The sequence below is a fragment of the Homo sapiens genome, chromosome 19 (genome assembly GCF_000001405.40).
Source record: "Homo sapiens chromosome 19, GRCh38.p14 Primary Assembly".
NCBI classification, from domain to species: domain Eukaryota; kingdom Metazoa; phylum Chordata; class Mammalia; order Primates; family Hominidae; genus Homo; species Homo sapiens.
In genome coordinates this window covers 23,826,909-23,846,555 of record NC_000019.10, presented here as the reverse complement: position 1 = coordinate 23,846,555, position 19,647 = coordinate 23,826,909, and the positions used below count along the sequence as shown (strand labels likewise).

General features: G+C 35.8%; 1 protein-coding gene and 1 pseudogene across 14 annotated transcripts in view; both read right to left on the bottom strand.

Moving 5' to 3' along the window:
* RPSA2 (ribosomal protein SA 2) overlaps positions 1-19,647 on the bottom strand; it is a 112,693-nt gene that overhangs the window by 24,633 nt on the left and 68,413 nt on the right. For 6 of the 14 annotated variants that reach the window (NR_149351.3, NR_170708.1, NR_149350.3 and 3 more), the window contains one exon: positions 11,343-14,959. The exons of 1 other annotated variant lie outside the window; for it this stretch is intronic. Coding sequence is in view for 4 of the 13 variants with exons in the window: in NM_001355287.3 (NP_001342216.1) it covers positions 18,507-19,394 (888 nt within the window). In the remaining 9 variants the exon portion in view is untranslated. Of the gene's footprint in view, positions 1-11,342; positions 14,960-17,687; positions 19,487-19,647 lie in introns of those variants that run through there. 7 more of the 14 variants (NM_001355287.3, NM_001355283.3, NM_001387845.1 and 4 more) reach the window with 3 other exon arrangements.
* Positions 14,212-14,961, bottom strand: ZNF726P1 (zinc finger protein 726 pseudogene 1; annotated as a pseudogene).

The window sequence follows — 19,647 nt, the reverse complement described above, 5'->3', positions numbered from 1 at the left end:
ATAGACTGGGCCTACAAAAGATGTTCCAGGGATTTCCAATATAAAAACAAAAGATTGATATTCACCATCATTAAAACATATAAAAGTATAAAACAGGCCTTATAAAACAAAGAGAGAAATAAATAAATCACAATAGGACATAATTTTATTAAACCACAAATATAAATAGATAAAAAGAAAAAATAAAACAAGGCAATAATTAACATTATGACAGTAACAAAGCCTTAATATTAATATAATCTTGAATATAAATCAATTAAAACCTTCATTGAAATGTATAGATTTATGAAATGAATAAGAAAAAATGATCCAACTGTGTGTTGCCTACAAGAATCTCACCTTACTTGTAAGATACATATAAACTAAAAGTAAAGGGGGTAGATATTAACACAAACAGAAACCAAAAACAGACAGCAGTATCTGTCTTATATCAAATAAAACAGACTTTAAAAAGAAATATTATTAAACCTATAGAAAGAGATGGACACATCTCTTTAGGTAACACAATATCTCTATAGGTAACACAATAATAGTGGAGAAATTCAGCATTCTACTCACAGCATTAGAGAGACCATTGAGATAGGAAAGCTGGCAAATCAACAAAGTACTCCCAAAAATCAAAATTATATCAACTACCTACTTAGACCATAGTAGAATAAAATTATGAATTGATATCAAGAGAAATTTCAGAAACTATAAATTTACAAACAATTAAAACAACATGATCCCAAACAGTCACTGTAAATGAAGTAATTAGGATGGCCAGCCAGAGGTGGTGGCTCACACCTGTAATCCCAGCACTTTGTGAGGCTGAGGCAGGTGGATCGCCTGAGGTCAGCAGTTTGAGACGGCCTGAGCAACATGCAAAAACCGCATTGCTACAAAAAAAATTTAAAAATAGCTAGGTGTGGTGCTGCGCACCTATGATACTAGCTACTCAGGAGGCTGAGATAAAAAGATCACTTGAGCATGGAAGGCAGAGGTTGCAGTGAGCCAAGATTGTTCCACTGCACTCCAGCCCAGGTGACAGAGTAAAACTCATCTCAAAAAGAAAATTAAGATGAAAATTAAAAATGTGTGGGGAAAAAAGATGGAAATAGAAACACAATATAATAAAACCTGTGAGATACATCAAATATAGTACTAAGAGGGCAGTTTATAGCCTAAATGTCTGCATCAAAAAAGTAGAAAGCTTACATGTTAAGGACCTGACATCATATTTCAAGGAACTAGAAAATTAGTAACAAACAAAATTCCAAGTTAGAAGAAGAAAAAAAAAACATAAATCAGAACAGAACCAAATGAAATAAAAACCAAAAACTATAAGAATGACCAATAGAATAAAAAGTTGCTTTTTCAAAAAGACAAAATTTATAAATTGCCAGCTAGATTAACCACAAACAGAATAGAAATCTAAATAAACAAAATCAGAAATGAAAGAATAGACATTACAATGGATACAACAGCAATACAAAAAATCACTAGCAATGATTATAAACAACTAGACACTCATAAACCTGAAAACCTACAAAGAATGAATAAATTCATGGAAACATACAACCTCCCAAGATAGAGCCAGGAAGAAACTGAGTACCTGAACAAACCAATAATGAGTAGCATGATTGAGTCAGTAATAAAAAAAAGTCTTGAAAAAGAAAAGCTCAGAACTAGATAAATGCACAGCCAAATTCTACCAAATGTATAAAAATTCTACCAAATCCTCCTGAAACTCTTCCAAAAAATTGAGGATAATAAAATTCTTCCTAAGTCACTCTCAGGTCAGTACCACCCTGCTACCAAAACTAGCCATGAACACAACAAAGAAAATTGTTATTATATTATTATTATATTATAAAAAAATGGACAAATTAGATTCAAACTAAAAAGTTTTTGCACAGCAAATAAAATAACAGGGTAAATAGGCAACCTAAAGAATAAAAGAACATATTTGCAAACTATGTGACAACATGAAACTTATATTTGGAATTTACAAATAACTCAAACTAAAAGCATAGTAAGAAATCCCATTGAAAAATGGACCAATAACATTACTAAGCACTTTTCAATAAAGACATACAAATAGCCAACATGAGTATGCTTAATCTCAGATAACTAAAAATAGAACTACAATTTGATTCAGAAATTTCACCATTGGGTATCTACCCAAAAAAATAGTTTATTATGTGAAAATGATACCTATACTTGCATGTTTATCACAGCATGCTCACAATAGCAAACCATACATACAAGAAAAGTTTAAAATTCAAAATATATAGAAAATTCAAAGCAAAGACAAGTATAATAACAATGATAAACCAACTGAAAAATAGTCAAAACACTGAAGAAATATTTTGCCAATGAATTATATACAAATGACCAATAGATATATTTAAAAAGTGCTAAATAGCCCCCACAAACAGGCAATTACAAACAAAAACAACGATGAGCTATCACTTCAAATCTGTTAAGATTCCTAATATCAAAAAGAAAAAATAGAGGCCAGGTGCGGTGGTTCACACCTGTAATTCCAGCACTTTGGGAGGCCAAGGCAGGCAGATCACCTGAGGTCAGGAGTTGGAGACCAGGCTGGACAACATGAAGAAACCCCATCTCTACTAAAAATACAAAATTAGCCAGGTGTGGTGGTGCATGCCTGTAATCCCAGCTACTCAGAAGGCTGCGGCGGGAGAATCGCTTGAACCCAGGAGGCAAAGATTGCGGTAAGCTGAGACCATGCCATTGCACTCCAGCCTCGGCAACAAGAGTGAAACTTCATCTCAAAAAAAAGAAAACAGAAGAAAAAAGAAAAGACAAGACAATATAGATAAATAACAAGTAACATGTCATTGATGTTCCTGAGATTTCTGAAACAAATCTTAATATCACCACTGCTCTCACACATTTCAGATATGATGGGAAAAGAAAACCTAACAAATGATCTAACATGCAGTTTCTCAAAAATAGTTAGAGATATTCTCATATTGCCCCAAAGCAATGGAAGAGCAGGTATATCATGCAGTACCTTATAAGCCATAAAGAGGACTTTAGCTCTCATGGTACCCTCAAAGGAAAATCACTAAATAGGAAGTAGAGTCCATAAAGAATTTAATGGTATGGGACAAAAGATGCTCCTATATAAGAACTAGGGAAAAAAACAAAATGGCTTTTTAGGAACCTTTCCATTGAAGCAGAGCATCCCATACCACATTTTAAGGTCTGGAATTCTTTTTGACCTTTGTACCTCTTGTCTGTGTTATCTGCTTCATTCATGCTTACGTGCCAGAGTATTTGACCACTGTCTCATGTCTCTTTACATACCAGGGTTCTTTTATTTGCTCAAGGCAGGAGATCAGATCAGGTACAGAGACACCACAGCCTGATTTGTTAGAAAAAAGTTAACATGATTTGTTGGGATTCTCCAGTTACCATCCTAGTACCATGTTTAGTACAGAGGAGAGAATATTATGAAAGATTTTAGAAATTTAATTCCAAAATACTGTTTTCTGACAGAACCTTTAGAATACTTAGAACATATTTTACATTTCTGGGTCCTTAGCTCTACTATCCAATACTATTGAATTTAAAATTGGTGCTGGATATTGGATTTTATTATTTGGGCAATAATATTTAATGCCACTGAATTTCTAGAATTATCATTAATCTAGAGTGAAGGATACAGATTACCTCAAAAAAAAGGGGATGGTTCCTGTTAAGATAAAACATCTTGAAGATTTTCTTTTCTATTTCAATAAACCGTCAAGTTTTCCTTAAAAGGGTTGATCTAAAAATAATTTATGTGGAGCAAAAACTCCCAAAATCATTCTACAAAGGGAGAAAATAGAAGCCTTAGGGTATATTAGGAAATCTGGTGAAAATTTATTCTGAGAGACCAGGTTTCTGTTGTTCTCTAACATTACATCTCTATACAAATTTCACTGAGCAGGATTCAGACATTCCCACTCCTCCTGAGAAAATTCTATGGCCACAGCCTTGAAAGTTAACATTTCCTAAAAAAAAAAAAAACACACATATTTAGCAAGTGGTCATGGGCAGAATTGTTAATTTTACTCTAGGTGTTTCAGAGTTAAGAGAGTTGGCTCTGTTTTACATAAGAGACTGGAATTATCCAATAAAATATTGCTTAACAGAGAAAGATTCTCTAATGCATTCCTTCATTCTGAACAAAGAGGATAAAATAAGATCCAAAAAACCAGTGTAATTACTATAGTTTTCTGAATAACACGGCATAGAACTTATGGCATAAACACAAGTATATACAGTTCTGAATGCCATATTTAGATTATACAGAGTAAGCTGTGTACAGTTCTCACATGGAGAAGTCACAGTAACTTAGGAGATACCTCTCAAATTTTAATGCATACATCAATAACCTGGAGATTTTGTTAAAATACGTATTCTAATTCAAGGGATGTGGGATGAGACCTGAGTTACTATATTGCAAACAAACTCACCAGTGATGTCAATCATTCTAGCTTAAGGAAAATACTTTGTAAAACATCTAGTAACTGATAGAACCTGGGTTTTATCCCAGTGTATATGACCAGTAAACAAAAATGACAGCCTTCATTTTCCAAAGCAAAGTATAAACAAAGAGAAACTATTCAGAAAAAGGGTGTAAGATAAATGGATGTGCAGTGGTCAAGAATAGGCCGTGGTAAACATCTGGTTCAGCCTGACTCAGTAAGTTTGGAGTACAAGTGCTCATCTCTGCTAATATGTAACCTGGTTGTATAAGCTCATACTTAGCTCTCAGCCGCTACTGAGTGTAAGGAGTACACAGACAGGTGAACAGGAGGAGGAGAGAGAGTAAGCTGCTCACCCTGTACACAGGGCTCATGCCCAGGCTTATGCCTAGAGAATAAAGCCATCTCAAAACTGCCCACAATTCCATGAGTGTTTTTCCAGTAACCCACAAATCACCCACCCACTCCTGTCAGACCTCCGATTGGGTTGGAACCTGACACTTGGCGTGACAGGGGAGCTTTCAGATTAAATGTGATTGTTTATGCACATTAGTCAGAAAGTTTCTCCAAAGTACCTGTTAATAATACAGGTTTTTGTTTTGTTTTTTGAGACGGAGTCTGGCTCTGTCGCCCAGGCTGGAGTGCAGTGGCGTGATCTTGGCTCACTGCAAGCTCCGCCCCTCAGGTTCACGCCATTCTCCTGCCTTAGCCTCCCGAGTAGCTGGGACTACAGGTGCCCACCACCACGCCCAGCTGATTTTTTGTAATTTTAGTAGAGACGGGGTTTCACCATGTTAGCCAGGATGGTCTCGATCTCCTGACCTCGTGATCTGCCTGCCTCGGCCTCCCAAATAATACAGTTTTTTAAAAGAAACATTATAGGGAAGAAATCCTTGAGAAAACACGTTAACCAAGTAAATAAAATTAATGAGACAGATTGGTATCAGGTGCTGATACATATTGGAGGATGCAACATGACTTCTGTGAGATTACTGGCCAAAAAAACATAAATCATAATCTGAATCTAATCATAAAAAACATGTTTTATGTAAAGTTCAAGGCACATACGATGTCCATGTTTTGTCTTTTTTTTTTTTTTTTTTTTTTTTGAGACGGAGTTTTGTTGTTTTCACCCAGGCTGGAGTGCAATGGTGCAATCTTGGCTCACCGCAACCTCTGCCTCCTGTGTTCAAGAGATTCTCCTGCCTCAGCCTCCCAAGTAGCTGGGATTACAGGCACGTGCCACAGTGTCCGGCTAATTTTTTTTTTGTATTTTAGTAGAGATGGGGTTTCACCGTGTTGGTCAGGCTGGTCTCAAACTCCTGACCTCAGGTGATCTGCCCACCTCAGCTTCCCAGAGTGCTGGGATTACAGGTGTCAGCCACCGTGCCCAGCGCATGTTTTGTAATTTCTAATAGTGTATCTAAATACTCTCTCTTTAAGCATTCTAGAAGGCACATTTCTTTGAATTCATTCCTTTACATATCTTTCTAAATTATTCCAGGCCATTAATTCCATCTTTTTTAAGTGTGCATTTAAAAATTGTGTTATTCATAGAGCTGATGGAGCATTCAGATAGAACCTAAATGGTGCAGTTTTCTCCCTCACTGATATCTGAGGACCCAGCACCATCCCCAATAAGAATGTTTTATATCTTCACCTGCTCAGGCTGATCTGTCAACAAAGGGAATACTTTCAATATTTCACGGTATAAATTCAAGGTACTATTTGTGATATGTAAGAAGCCTGGATGGAGAGAATAAAGATAAGGCTCTGAAACATAGGGGAGAATTATTTTAATGAGGTCATTTCACTGTCATGAGAAGAAAAAAGGTACTTCAAATAATCTTGTTAGGCAAAAGCATCAGAAGTAGAAATGAAAATGATTGCAACTGTAAATACATGACCTTCTAGAAGAAAATGTGGACACAGTTTTGACCTGGGACACATTCATTTGAGAATCAACCATTTTTTCTCTCTTCTCTGATTCCTTCTCAGGAGAGAGTATCTGAAAAAATCACCACCTTTATCTTCAGAATATGTCCTTAAAGGCATCAGGACAACCCTCTGAAGGAAGCAGACTGCTCCTGCAGGACCTGACAGACACCCCAAATACAGTGAGTGCCACCACTGCAGAAGTGGGAAAGGGAGACTCTCTTCTCCTGAACACAACGACCCCACTGGAGAAACTGAAAGTCTGTTTGTGGGAGAAGCTCCTTACTACCTGGAGGTGAGTCAAGTTAGAGAGCCAAGCTGAGTGAAATACAGGGGTTCAGGAGGCAACAGGGAGGCCCTGGGAGCTCGCTGAATCCCCAAGGAGCCCATTCCTGCCTGGCACCACAGGAATCCATGGGAGAGGGAGGAGGACAGAGAAGCAAGGGGTAAAACTCCAAGGGGAGAAGGATTTCCCTAGCTGAACTTCATAACAATTTGAATGGGGCAAGAAGCCTCCTGGCAAGAACTCAGGGAAGGCGTGACTCTGGCTTGAACACTTCACAGGTGGGGAAGAACTAAAGCCTTTTTATTTTACCACACTGAGAAACAGAAAGCCTGGGGTAATTTTCAAACCCAACTTGCCCTCCACATGGAAACAGATTTGGGGCTGTTGTGAGGGGTGCAGTGGGTGTGAGACCAGCCTTTTGGTTTCCACTGGAGCTGAGTGAGGCCTGTGACTGCCAGCTTTCCCCCACGTCCCTGACACCCTGAATGAATCAGCAGAGACAATCATAACGCGCCTCAATAAATTTAAGAAAATTGACATTATACCAAGAACTCTCTCAGATCACAGTGGAATAAAACTGGAAATCAACTCCCAAAGGAACCTTCAAAACCATGCAAATACATGGAAATTAAATAATCTGCTCCTTAATGAGCATTGCGTTAAAAACAAAATCAATATGGAAATTAAAAAATTCTTCAACTTAATGACAATAATGATACAACCTATCAAAACCTCTGGGATACAGCTAAGGTGGTACTAACAGGAAAGTTCATAGCCCTAAATGCCTACATCAAAAAGTTTGAAAGAGCACAGACAGACAAGGAACTAGAGAAACAAGAACAAATGAAACCCAAACCCAGCAGAAAAAAAAGGAAATAATCAAGATCAGAGCAGAACTAAATGAAATTGAAACAAACAAATAAACAAAAAATACAGAAGGTAAATGAAACAAAGAGCTGCTTCTCAGAAAAGATAAATAAAATTGATACATCATTAGCAAAATTGATCAAGAAGAGAGAAAATCCAAATAACCTCACTGAGAAATGAAACTAAAGAATATTATAACTGACACCACTGAAATACAAAAAATCATTCAAGGCTCCTAAGAACACCTTTACACACATACACATAAGCTAGAAAACATAGAAGAGATGGATAAATTCCTGGAAAATGTAGAAGAGATGGATAAATTCCTGGAAAAATACAACCCTACTAGCTTAAAACAGGAAGAATTAGATACCCTGAACAGATCAATAACAAGCAGTGAGATTAAAATGGTAATTTAAAACTTACCACCAACAAAAAAAAATCCAACAGATTCACAGCAAAATTCTACCAGAAATTCAAAGAAGTGGTACCAAACCTTTTGACACTAGATAAAGAACTCTCCCTAATTCATTCTATGAAGCCAGCATCACTCTAATACCAAAACCAGGAAAAGACACAACCAAAAAGAAAACTACAGACCCATATCCTTGATAAACATTAATGCTAAAATCCTTAACAAAATATTAGCTTACCAAATCCAACATGTCAAAAAGATAATCCATGATCAAGTGGGTTTCACACCACAGATGCAGGGATGGTTTAACACACACAGGTCAACAAATGATACACCACATAAACAGAATTGAAAACAAAAATCACATGATCATCTCAATAGATGCAGAAAAAACATTCAACAAAATCCAACATCGCTTTATAATTAAAACTCTCAGCAAAGTTGGCATAAAAAGGACACAGCTTAATGTAATAAAAGCTATCTATGGCAAACCCACAACCAACATAATAGTGAATGGGGAAAAGTTAAAAGCGTTCCCTCTGAAAATGGGAACAAGACAAGGGTGCCCACTCTCACCACTCCTCTTCAACATAGTCCTGGAAATCATAGCCAGAGCAATAAGACAAGAAATAAAGGCATCCAAATCAGTAAACAGGAAGTCAAACTGTCCCTGTTTGCTGATGACATGATTATTTACCTTGAAAACCCTAAGGACTCCTCCAGAAAGCTCCTAGAACTGACAAAATTCAGAAAAGTTTCTGGATACAAGATTAATGTACACAAATCAGTAGCTCTTCTATTCACCAACAGCAACCAAATGGAGAATTAAATCAAGAACTCATCCCCTTTTACAATAGCTGAAAAAAATAAAATACTTAGGAAATATACCTAATGAAGGAGCCAAAAGAAGGAAAACTACAAAACACCGCTGAAAGAAATCATAGACGACACAAACAAATGGAAACACATCCCATGCTCATGGATGGGTAGAATCAATATTGTGATAATGACCATACTGCCAAAAGCAATCAATAAATTCAACACAATCCCCATCAAAATACCACCAACATTCTTCACAGAGTTAGAAAAAACAATTCAAAAAATCATACGAAGCCCATATAGCCAAAGTAAGACTAAGAAAAAAGAACAAATCTGGAGGAAACACACTACCTGATTTCAAAGTATACTATAAGTCACCAAAACAGCATGGTCCTGGTATAAAAATAGGCACATACACCAATGGAACAGAGAACCCAGAAATAAACCCAAATACTTACAGCCAACTGATTTTCAACAAAGCAAACAAAAACATAAAGTGGGGAAAGGACACCCTTTTCAACAAACGGTACTGGGATAATAGGCTAGCCACATGTGGGAGAATAAAACTGGATCCTCATGTCCCATCTTATTAAAAAAAAATCAACACAAGATGGATTAAGGACTTAAACCTAAGACCTGAAACTATAAAAACTCTGGAAGCTAACATTGAAAAAACTCTTCTAGGCATTGGTTGGCCAAAATTTCATGACCAAAAACCTAAAAGCAAATGCAGTAAAAACAAAGATAAACAGCTGGGACCTAATTAAACTAAAAAGCTTTGGCATGGCAAAAGGAACAGTCAGCAGAATAGACAGATAACTCAGAGAGTGGGAGAAAATCTTTACAATCTATACATCTGACAAAGGACTAATATACAGAATCTGTAATGAACTCAAATCAGTAAGAAAAAAATCAAAAAATAGAAAAATCTCAAAAGATACACAAATGGCCAACAAACATATTAAAAAAAATGCTCAACATCACTAATGATCAGGGAAATGCAAATCAAACCACAATGCGATACCACTCTATTCCTGCAGGAATGGCCGTAATCAAAAGATCAAAAAACTGTAGATGTTGGCATGGATGCAGCAATCAAAGAACACTTCCACACTGCCGGTGGGAATGTCAACCAGTACAGTCACTATAGGAAACTGTGGAAATTCCTTAAAGAACTAAAAGCAGAATTATCATTTGATCCAGCAATCCCACTACTGGGTATCTACCCAGAGAAAAATAAGTCATTATTTGAAAGAGATACTTGCACATGCATATTTCTAGCAGCACAATTCACAATTGCAAAATTCTGGAACCAACCAAAATGCCCATCAATCAACGAGTGGATAAAGAAACTGTGGGGTGTGTGTGTGTGTGTGTCTGTGTGTGTGTGTGTTGGAATACTACTCAGCCATAACAAGTAATTAATTAAAAGCATTTGCAATAACCTGGATGAGACTGGAGACTATTATTCTACGTGAAGTAACTCAGGAATGGAAAACCAACCATCATATGTTCTCACTGATATGTGGGAGGTAAGCTATGAGAATGGAAAGGTATAAGAATAATACAATGGACTTTGGGGACATGGGGAGAAGAGTGGGAAGGGAGAGGAATAAAAGACAACATATATGATGCAGTGTATACTGCTTGGGTGATGGGTGCACCAAGATCTCACAAATCACCACTAAAGAACTTACTTATCTAACCAAATACCACCTATACCCCAATAACTTATGGAACAATAAAATTAAAAAAATATATATTCTTATAATTACAGACCAGTTCACATAATGAATACTTCATAAACTATTACACAGGCTGGGTGCAGTGGCTCACACCTGTAATCCCAGCACTCTGGGAGGCTGAGGTGGATGGATCACCTGAGGTCAGGAGTTTGAGACCAGCGTGACCAACCTGGTGAAACACTGTCTGTAGTGAAAATACAAAAATTAGCTGGGCATGGTGGCGGGCACATGTAATCCCAGCTACTTGGGAGGCTGAGGCAGAACTGCTTGAACCTGAGAGGCAGAGGCTACAGTGAGCCAAGATCTCACCATTGCACTCCAGCCTGGGAGACAGAGCAAGACTCTATCTCAAAAGAAAAAAACAAGAACAACAACAACAAAAAAAAAAACTATTAAACAAACAAAAAAAGAATATTACGGGACTAGCATGAGTACCAGTCAAATTAAAACAGAGAATTTGCATGGGGAGATTCTGAACCCTGAGCCAAAAGATTGCACGGTAATAAATTCAATACAAAGCAGAGAGCATAGATTTGCTTTCACCATTTTTGAGAATTTTTGTTTTCTAGTGAATTAGGCCCCTGATTAAAATGATTTATTTTGTTCTAATATTTTTTTCTGCTAAAAATAGTTTCAAATTTATACTCACACAAACAGACTTACTCCATAATTTATTTAGACCTAAAGTTTATCTTTAGACTAATAGATGTGAATATTTAACTCTATGTAAATCAATACTAACAGTCCATATGTGCTTGCAGGCAAAGGCCACATGTTCAAAGAAAAATATATTAAAATTTATAAAAATATTTATTAAGGACTCAGAAATGTATGGATTTTACATGTTTGTATATAATTTGTATTATGATGATAAAAATGACCCTGTAGTCAATAACAATTTAATTGTACATTAAAAATAACTTAAACTGTAGAATTGAATTGCTTGTAATACAAAGAATAAATGCTAGAGGTAATGGACATCTCATTTCCTCTAATGTGATTATCATATTTTGTATTCCTGTATTAAAATATGCCATATATGGCATAAACATATAAACATATATCCACAGAAATTAAGAAAAATACATTTAAATGTGAAAATAAGAATAAAAATATAACCTATAGGAACAATATTTTTTAACTTATTGGCCATTTAAAGTTACTGGCAATAAAGATTACTAGTGATGTCAGTCCATTATCTTACCAAATAATGTATTGTTACCTACACCCTTGTGTAAGATGGAATAGGTTAAAGTTAGTGGCACAATAACATTTCAATGGATTCATGATAGTATTTAACATGTTAAAAATGTGGAATTGAAAAGTTAATTTCACAAATAATTTATAATTTAAAAATATGCTGTATAGTATTCCATAAAAGTGCAATTAATAAAATAACATTACTAACCTAATTTTAACTAAAATTAAGAATATTTTTCTTTCATAATAATGTAGAAGAGTATTACTCTGAACACCTACCTCATGTATCACAAAATATTATAAGTTAACCACAAAGAGCCTCTCTACTTAAATTTTCATTATGCATCTTACATTTTAATGTCCTTACCTTTCCATAGAAAAGGTCATAAGTAATGCTTACCTAATAAACAAGAATCTCTCATATATTTTGTCCAGCAACAATTAGTCACATGCTTTCACATTTGAATAAACCAGGAATATGGAAGAGCATGAAGTAATTTAAGAGTTTAACTTCATTATTATTCACTTCGAAAAAAACCTGTATGTTCATAAAAAGTATAATTTGAATGTAATTATAACTCTCCAAAAAATATTCTACTTCTTTTAAAGTTATATACAAATAATGTTTATGCTATCTATAGTTTTGTATTATTTTTTATACGCAGCACTCTGATTTACAGTAGTGTCTAAACATTGAGTGGCCCTAGATATTTCTACTGTGGATTATTCTGATATTTACATAGACAATTTTGGATTAAATATCTTTCATCTTTACTGCACCTGCAAAAATATATTTTAGTATAAACTCTTTGGTGTTTTATAATTTGTAGTTTTTGAAAAAATGTTTTTCCAAATTTATTATATTTGCAGGGTTTTCTTCAATATAAACTCACTGATGTTGGACAAAATTTTAACAACTGCCTCAGGGTTTTCCTCTAGCACAAAATGTGTACAATAAGATTTCTGATACAAGTAAAGGTATTACAACCCTATTTATATTTGTAGTGCTTTTTTAAAGTAAATACTCTTCTGCACTTTAAAGACATATTTTCTAATAGATCTTTGGACAGTAATTACACTTTTATGCTTTTATTTCATATGAACTATCTGATTTTGAGTAAGATGTGAGCAGGTATTAATGGCTTTTTTACTTTATATTTGCACATTTGTTCTCAAGTATAAATGCTTATAAATGCTTTCCTGTGCAATAACGTGTGAGCATTAGTTAGAAGCTTGGCCACATTGTACACACTGATAGTTATCTCCAGTATGAATTACCTTACCTACAATCAAGTGTGACAATCATTTAAAGGCTTTGTCACATTCTTCACACTTCTAGGATTCTCAGCAGCATGATTTTCTTTATGTTTAGAAAAGCTTAAGTTGTTGTCAAAAGCATTGGCACATCTTTCAGGTTTGCAAAGTTTCTCTCCAGTATAAATAACCTTATGTCTGTAAAGAATTGAGGACTTTTTATAGGCTTTGACACATTATTCACACTTGTAATATTTCTCTTCAATATAAGTTATCTTATGTGCATTAAGTTGTAAGGATTAAAGGTTTGCCAAATTTTTCCCATTTGTAGGGTTGCTTTCAAGTATAAATTTTCTTATGTTTAGTTAGGGCTGAGGACCAGGAAAAGGCATTGGCACATTCTTCCCATTTGTAGGGTTTTAAACCAGTAAGAATTACCTTATGTTTAGTAAAGCTTGAAGACAGGTTAAAAGATTTGCCACATTCTTCACACTTGTAGGGTTTCTTTCCAGTATGAATTCTCTTATGGTTAGCAAAAATTGAAGACTGCCTAAAGGCTTTGCCACATTCTTCACACTTGTAGGGTTTTACTCCACTGTGAATTACCTTATGTTTAGTAAAGCTTGAAGACAGGTTAAAAGATTTGCCACGTTCCTCACATTTGTAGGGTTTCTCTCCAGTATGAATTCTCTTATGTGTAGTAAGGGTTGAGGACTGGCTGAAAGCTTTGCCACATTCTTCACATTTGTAGGGTTTCTCTCCAGTATGAATTATCTTATGTCGAGTAAGGATTGATGACTGGCTAAAAGCTTTTTCATATTCTTCACATTTGTAGGGTTTCTCTCCAGTGTGCATCCTCTTATGACCAGTTAGGGTAATGAACCATAGAAATGCTTTGCCACCTTCTTCACATTTGTAGGGTCTCTCCCAGTATGAATTACCTTATGTGTAGTAAGGTATGGGGACTGGCTAAAAGCATTGCCACATTCTTGACATTTGTAGGGTTTCTTTTCAGTATGAATTATCTTATATATAGTAAGGTTTGAGTTTTGGCTAAAAGGTTTGCCACATAGATTTGTTGGGTTTCTCTCCAGTGTGTATCCTCTTATGTCTAGTTAGGGTTGAGAATTGAATTAATGCTTTGCCACATTCTTCACATTTGTAGGGTTTCTGTCTAGTATGGACTCTCCTATGTTCAGTAAGGCCTGAGGACCAGATAAATGCTTTGCCACTTTCTTCACACTTGTAATGTTTCCCTCTAGTATGAATTCTCTTATGTTTCGTAAGGGTTGAGAACTGGGTAAACGCTTTGCCACATTCTTCACATTTGTAGAGTTTCTTTCTTCTGTGCATCCTCTTATATCTAGTTAGGGTTGAGGGCTGGCAAAATGCTTTGCCACATTCTTCACATCTGTAAAGTTTTTCTTCAGCACAAATTATTTTATGTGTAGTAAGGGTTGAGTGTTGCTTAAAAGCTTTGCCACATTCTTCACATTTGTAAGGTTTCTGTTCAGTATGAATTTTCTTATTATTAGTAAGGATTGAGGACCAATTAAAGGTTTTTCCACATTTTTTACATTTGTAGGACTTCTCTCTAGTATAAATGCTTTTATGTTGGGTTTTGTGTGAAAGCATGCAAAATGATTTGACACATTTTTGACATTTGAAAGGTTTTCTTCCAGTATATCTTATTTTTTGTTTGAATTTAAAAATTTATAAAGGACTTTCAAACATTTACCACATTGAAATACTTTGCTCTGAGTAGTTGTGAAACACTTGTTAAGTCCATTATAACCTTCTTTGTGCACCTGACACTCATCCACACTTTTACAGCCATTTCTCAACAGTAAATTATCATGTCCACATTTTTCATGTCTTCTCAGTATTACTTTTTAAAAGGAATCTTCCATGCCCTGCTCTGGCCAGAGGTCTTAAGCAAAATGAGGGCATATACCTAAAAAAATAAAAATAAAAATAATAAATTACTCCACCTACTAGACTCACATGGATATAGTTTTAAAATCTTACCTTTAAAATTATACCAAATACATAAACAAGAGGGCATTGCAAAATACCACAGGCTCTAATTCATTTATAGATATATAAATGTAACTAAAATATACAGACCCAAATACATCTGTAAAAAATTTATAAATAAGTGTGTGCAGTGTTCCAGGTGAGCACAAAGAAAAAAAGGAAGTGTTAAATTCACCCAACACAGCTTTTCCTGCTTTCCACTATAACGTAGTACCTTCAGAAGTAAATTCCTAACTCTTGGTTTCTGTTTTAAAAGAAAGCTAAAATACTGGCACATTCGTTGTTATTTCTGACTTTTAGGGACCTTTTCTGACACTTGTTTCAGTCTCTCATGACATAAAGTGCTGAAAGAAATGGTGGCATATTTTGAAATGAGAGTTTGAGTCAGCTGAGACCAAAAAAAAAAGTGGTAGAGCAGCAGACTGACAGCAGTACCACAGAAAAGGAACAGGTGTAGCAAGTGATTTCTGACTCCTACAAAATAACAAGAGTAAACTCTGTTAATTAAAAATTAAACACAAAATTTCAGACAGCACATATCCTAAGAATATGTGTGAGAAACTCCCATAATCACCAGCCAAAACAATTGTTTTCAGACTATGCCAGGACAGAACAACATTATAAAGATTTTGACAGGTAGCTTTTTTTAATGTCCAAATCACAATCAAAGATAAAATATACAAAATAGGGCAATATGATCCCAGCAAAAATATTATAAATTTTTCTGAAAGAAAGCATAAAAAAAATCAGAGGTATAAATTACTTTTAATAATTGGTAATAAATTGAATAGTTCTCATTGATTAAAATAGGAACAGAGACAACTATGGAAATTCAGAAAAATGAGGACAAGAACAAAAATATTTAAGATTTCAAAAAAACAAAAATTGTGGAGGTAAAAAAATTTAAAAAAAACTAATAGATCCTAAAAGAAAATATGATGTAAAAATAAAGAAGTACAACAAACTAGTATCACAGAAAGATATTTATAACAAACATGTATATAACCACAATTTCTAGTCAAAGACAAAAAGATTATCTTTGAAGCTGCAAGATAAAAGTGATGTGCCAGGCCAGGCATGGTGGCTCCTGCCTGTAATCCAGGCACTTTGGGAGGCAGAGGTGGACGGATCACCTGAGGTCAGGAGTTCAAGGCCAGCCTGGACAAGATGGTGAAACCCTGTCTCTACCAAAACGACAAAAATTAGCTGGGTGTGGTGGCACATGCCTGTAATACCAGCTACTCAGGAGGCTGAGGCTGGAGAACCACTTGAACCTGGGAAGTGGAGGTTGCAGTGAGTTGAAGTCATACCACTATGCTCCAGCCTGGCTGGGGGATAGAGAGACGTTTAGTCTCAAAAAAAGAACTATGTTATGGAGTCATGAAAAAGTTGTTAAAAAAAATACCTATTAAGTGAGAATTATACCATCAGTGAATCTATCCTGCCAAATAAAAAAAAAAAACCTTCCAAAGTAATGAAATTCTAAAAAAGTATATTGGAACTGCATATGCCCTACATATAAAAGGTGCTAACAACAGTTCCTTTTACTGAAAATAACATGATTCAAAAAGCTACACATAATTATATAAAAATACATTATTTTCTAGAAAAAATATGCAAATTCACTTTGTAGAATTTATTAGCATTATCCTAGTGACGCAGAAAACATTTTTAATTATTCTCTGAAATTTGAACAATAAAAGAATAGAAATCATTATAAACATCAGTTAATGAACATACAACATAAGATATAATTAGCAACATCAATGACAAATTTGAGGGAAGATGTAATAAAGAAGAATTTTTGTATGCAACCTGTTTTTCTACCAGATTAAAATGTATTGTTGTATCTTTTAGACATTATATGTAGTCCCCAAGGTACCACAAAAATATTTGTATAAATACACAAAAGAGGTTGGGCATGGTGGCTTATGCCTGTAATTCCAGCACTTTGGGAGGCCGAGGCGGGTGGATCACCTGAAGTCAGGAGTTCAAGACTAGCCTGACCAACATGGAGAAACCTCATATCTACTAAAAATACAAAATTAGCCAGGCATGGTGGCACCTGCCTGTAATCTCAGCTACTCAGGAGGTTGAGGCAGGTAAATTGCTTGAACCCAGGAGGCGGAGATTGCGGTGAGCCAAGATCAATGCCATTGCACTCCAGCATGGACAACAAGAGTAAAACTCAGTCTCAAACAAATAAATAAATAAATAAGCGAAAGCATATCAATGCAAACATCAAAAAGACACAAAGATGGAAAGAGAATAAGACACAAAGATGCAATAATCAAATAAAATGCATAATAAAATAACAGTAAGTCTAATAATTAAAAAAGACTGTAAGTGGCAGGATGGAAGTAGACATTCCATGCAAACATTAATCAAATAAGAGCAGAAAGAGTCAAAATAATATCACACAAGCTACATCTTAAGTCAGAAAGTATAATATTTTATAAAATGTGCTTGAAATTGAAACTCCAAAGAAACAAAGAAGGACATCAAAAAATAATAGATTCATTCACAGGGAATCTATGACAAATTTGTGTGTGTGTGTGTGTGTGTGTGTGTGTGTGTCTCACATTAGGGTTCCAAGTATATAAAGCAAATATTGACAGAATGGAAGAAACACACAGAAAGCAATATAATTAGAACAATATATTTTAATACCACACTTTTTGTAATAAAACTAAAACAAGAAAGAATGTTAATAAAAGAACAGACTACTTAAAGGCAGTATAAAACAATTATTCCAAACAGAGTTATGGAGAACACTCCTCAACAACATCAGAATACACACCCTTCTCAATAGCTCATACAACATTTCCCTTGAAAGACCACATCTTAGGACAAAAAGGAAGTCTTATCAAATTTTTTAAAAGTAAATTTCTATGAACTACATTCTATGACCAAAATGGAATGAGAATATACAACGATAAAAGCAAAAAAAAAAAACTGAAAAATTTACAAATATATAGAAACTAAACAACACACTCTTGAGTGTGCTCTTACACAAAGGTTGAAATACTTAATATTGCAGAGTCCATCCTGCTCAATGCAATCTACAGATTTAATGCAATATTTTTCAAATTTCTCATTGCATTTTTGAAGAAATAGAAACACCAACCTCAAAAGTATACAGAGACTCAAAAGAAAAACAAACTACCCAACAATATTAAAAAAAAAAAAAGAAAGAAAGAATGCTGCAGGCATTAAAGTGCCTGATTCAAAACACATTACAAAGCTACCAAATTAAACAATTTGATATGAGTATAAAGGTGAAAAAGTAGACTAATAAAATAGAATGCAGCACATATATAAACTTTCACATATATGGTCATATAAGTAGTCATTTATAGACTCATAATTATTGCAGCATTTTTTTTTTTTTTTTTTTTAGAAACTGATGTTTATTTTCCATCAACCATTTTTCCATGCTGCTTAAGAGCCTATGCAAGAACAGCTTAAGACCAGTCAGTGGTTGCTCCTACCCATTCAGTGGCCTGAGCAGTGGGAGCTGCAGACCAGTCTTCCGTGGCAGGCTGAGCGCTCCAGTCTTCAGTAGGGAATTGCTGAATAGGCACAGAGGGCACCTGTACACCTTCAGACCAGTCTGCAACCTCAGGCTGAGTAGCAGTGAACTCAGGAGAGGGAGCAGTCCATTCACCCTGAAATTCCTCCTTGGTCACTGCCTTCTCAGCAGCAGCCTGCTCTTCTTTTTCAATCTCTTCAGGATCTCTGTAGAAGTACAGATCAGGCATGACCTCCCATGGGTGTTCACGGGAAATGGTGCCACGCATGCGCAGAACTTCCCGAGCCAGCATCCACCACATCAAACCCACTGAGTGAGCTCCCTTGTTGTTGCATGGGATGGCAATGTCCACATAGCGCAGAGGAGAATCTGTGTTACACAGCGCAATGGTAGGTAGGTTAACATAAGATGCCTCCGTGAGAGGCTGGTGGTCAGCCCTGGGGTCAGTAACCACAAGAAGCCGTGGCTCCCAGAAGGCTGCCTGGATCTGGTTAGTGAAGGTTCCAGGAGTGAAGCGGCCAGCAATTGGAGTGGCTCCAGTGGCAGCAGCAAACTTCAGCACAGCCCTCTGGCCAGTATTCCTGGAGGATATAACACTGACATCAGCAGGGTTTTCAATGGCAACAATAGCACGAGCTGCCAGCAGAAGCTTCTCCCAGGTCCTCTTGAGATTTATGATATAGATGCCATCACTTTTCCTTTTATAGATGTAGTGTTCCATCTGGAAGTCAAGATTGGTGCCACCTAAGTGGGTTCCTGCTGCAAGGAACTTAAGGACATCCTCCTCCTTCATTTGCAGGACATCAAGGGCTCCGGACATTGTGAAAGTTTCCCTTTAAGTTACGACGGGAATCCAGAACAACGCCGTATGGACCCCTCTGCAGGTAGCGCGGAAAAGCTGCAGCATTGTTACTGTAAGCAAATAGGTAAAAGCAATGCAAATATCTTTCAATAAATCATTCAGTAGATATAATTTGAAATATAAAAATTCTTCCCAGGCACGGTGGTTCACACCTGTAATCCCAGCACTTTGGGAGGCCAAGGCAGGCAGATCACAAGGTAAGGAGTTCGAG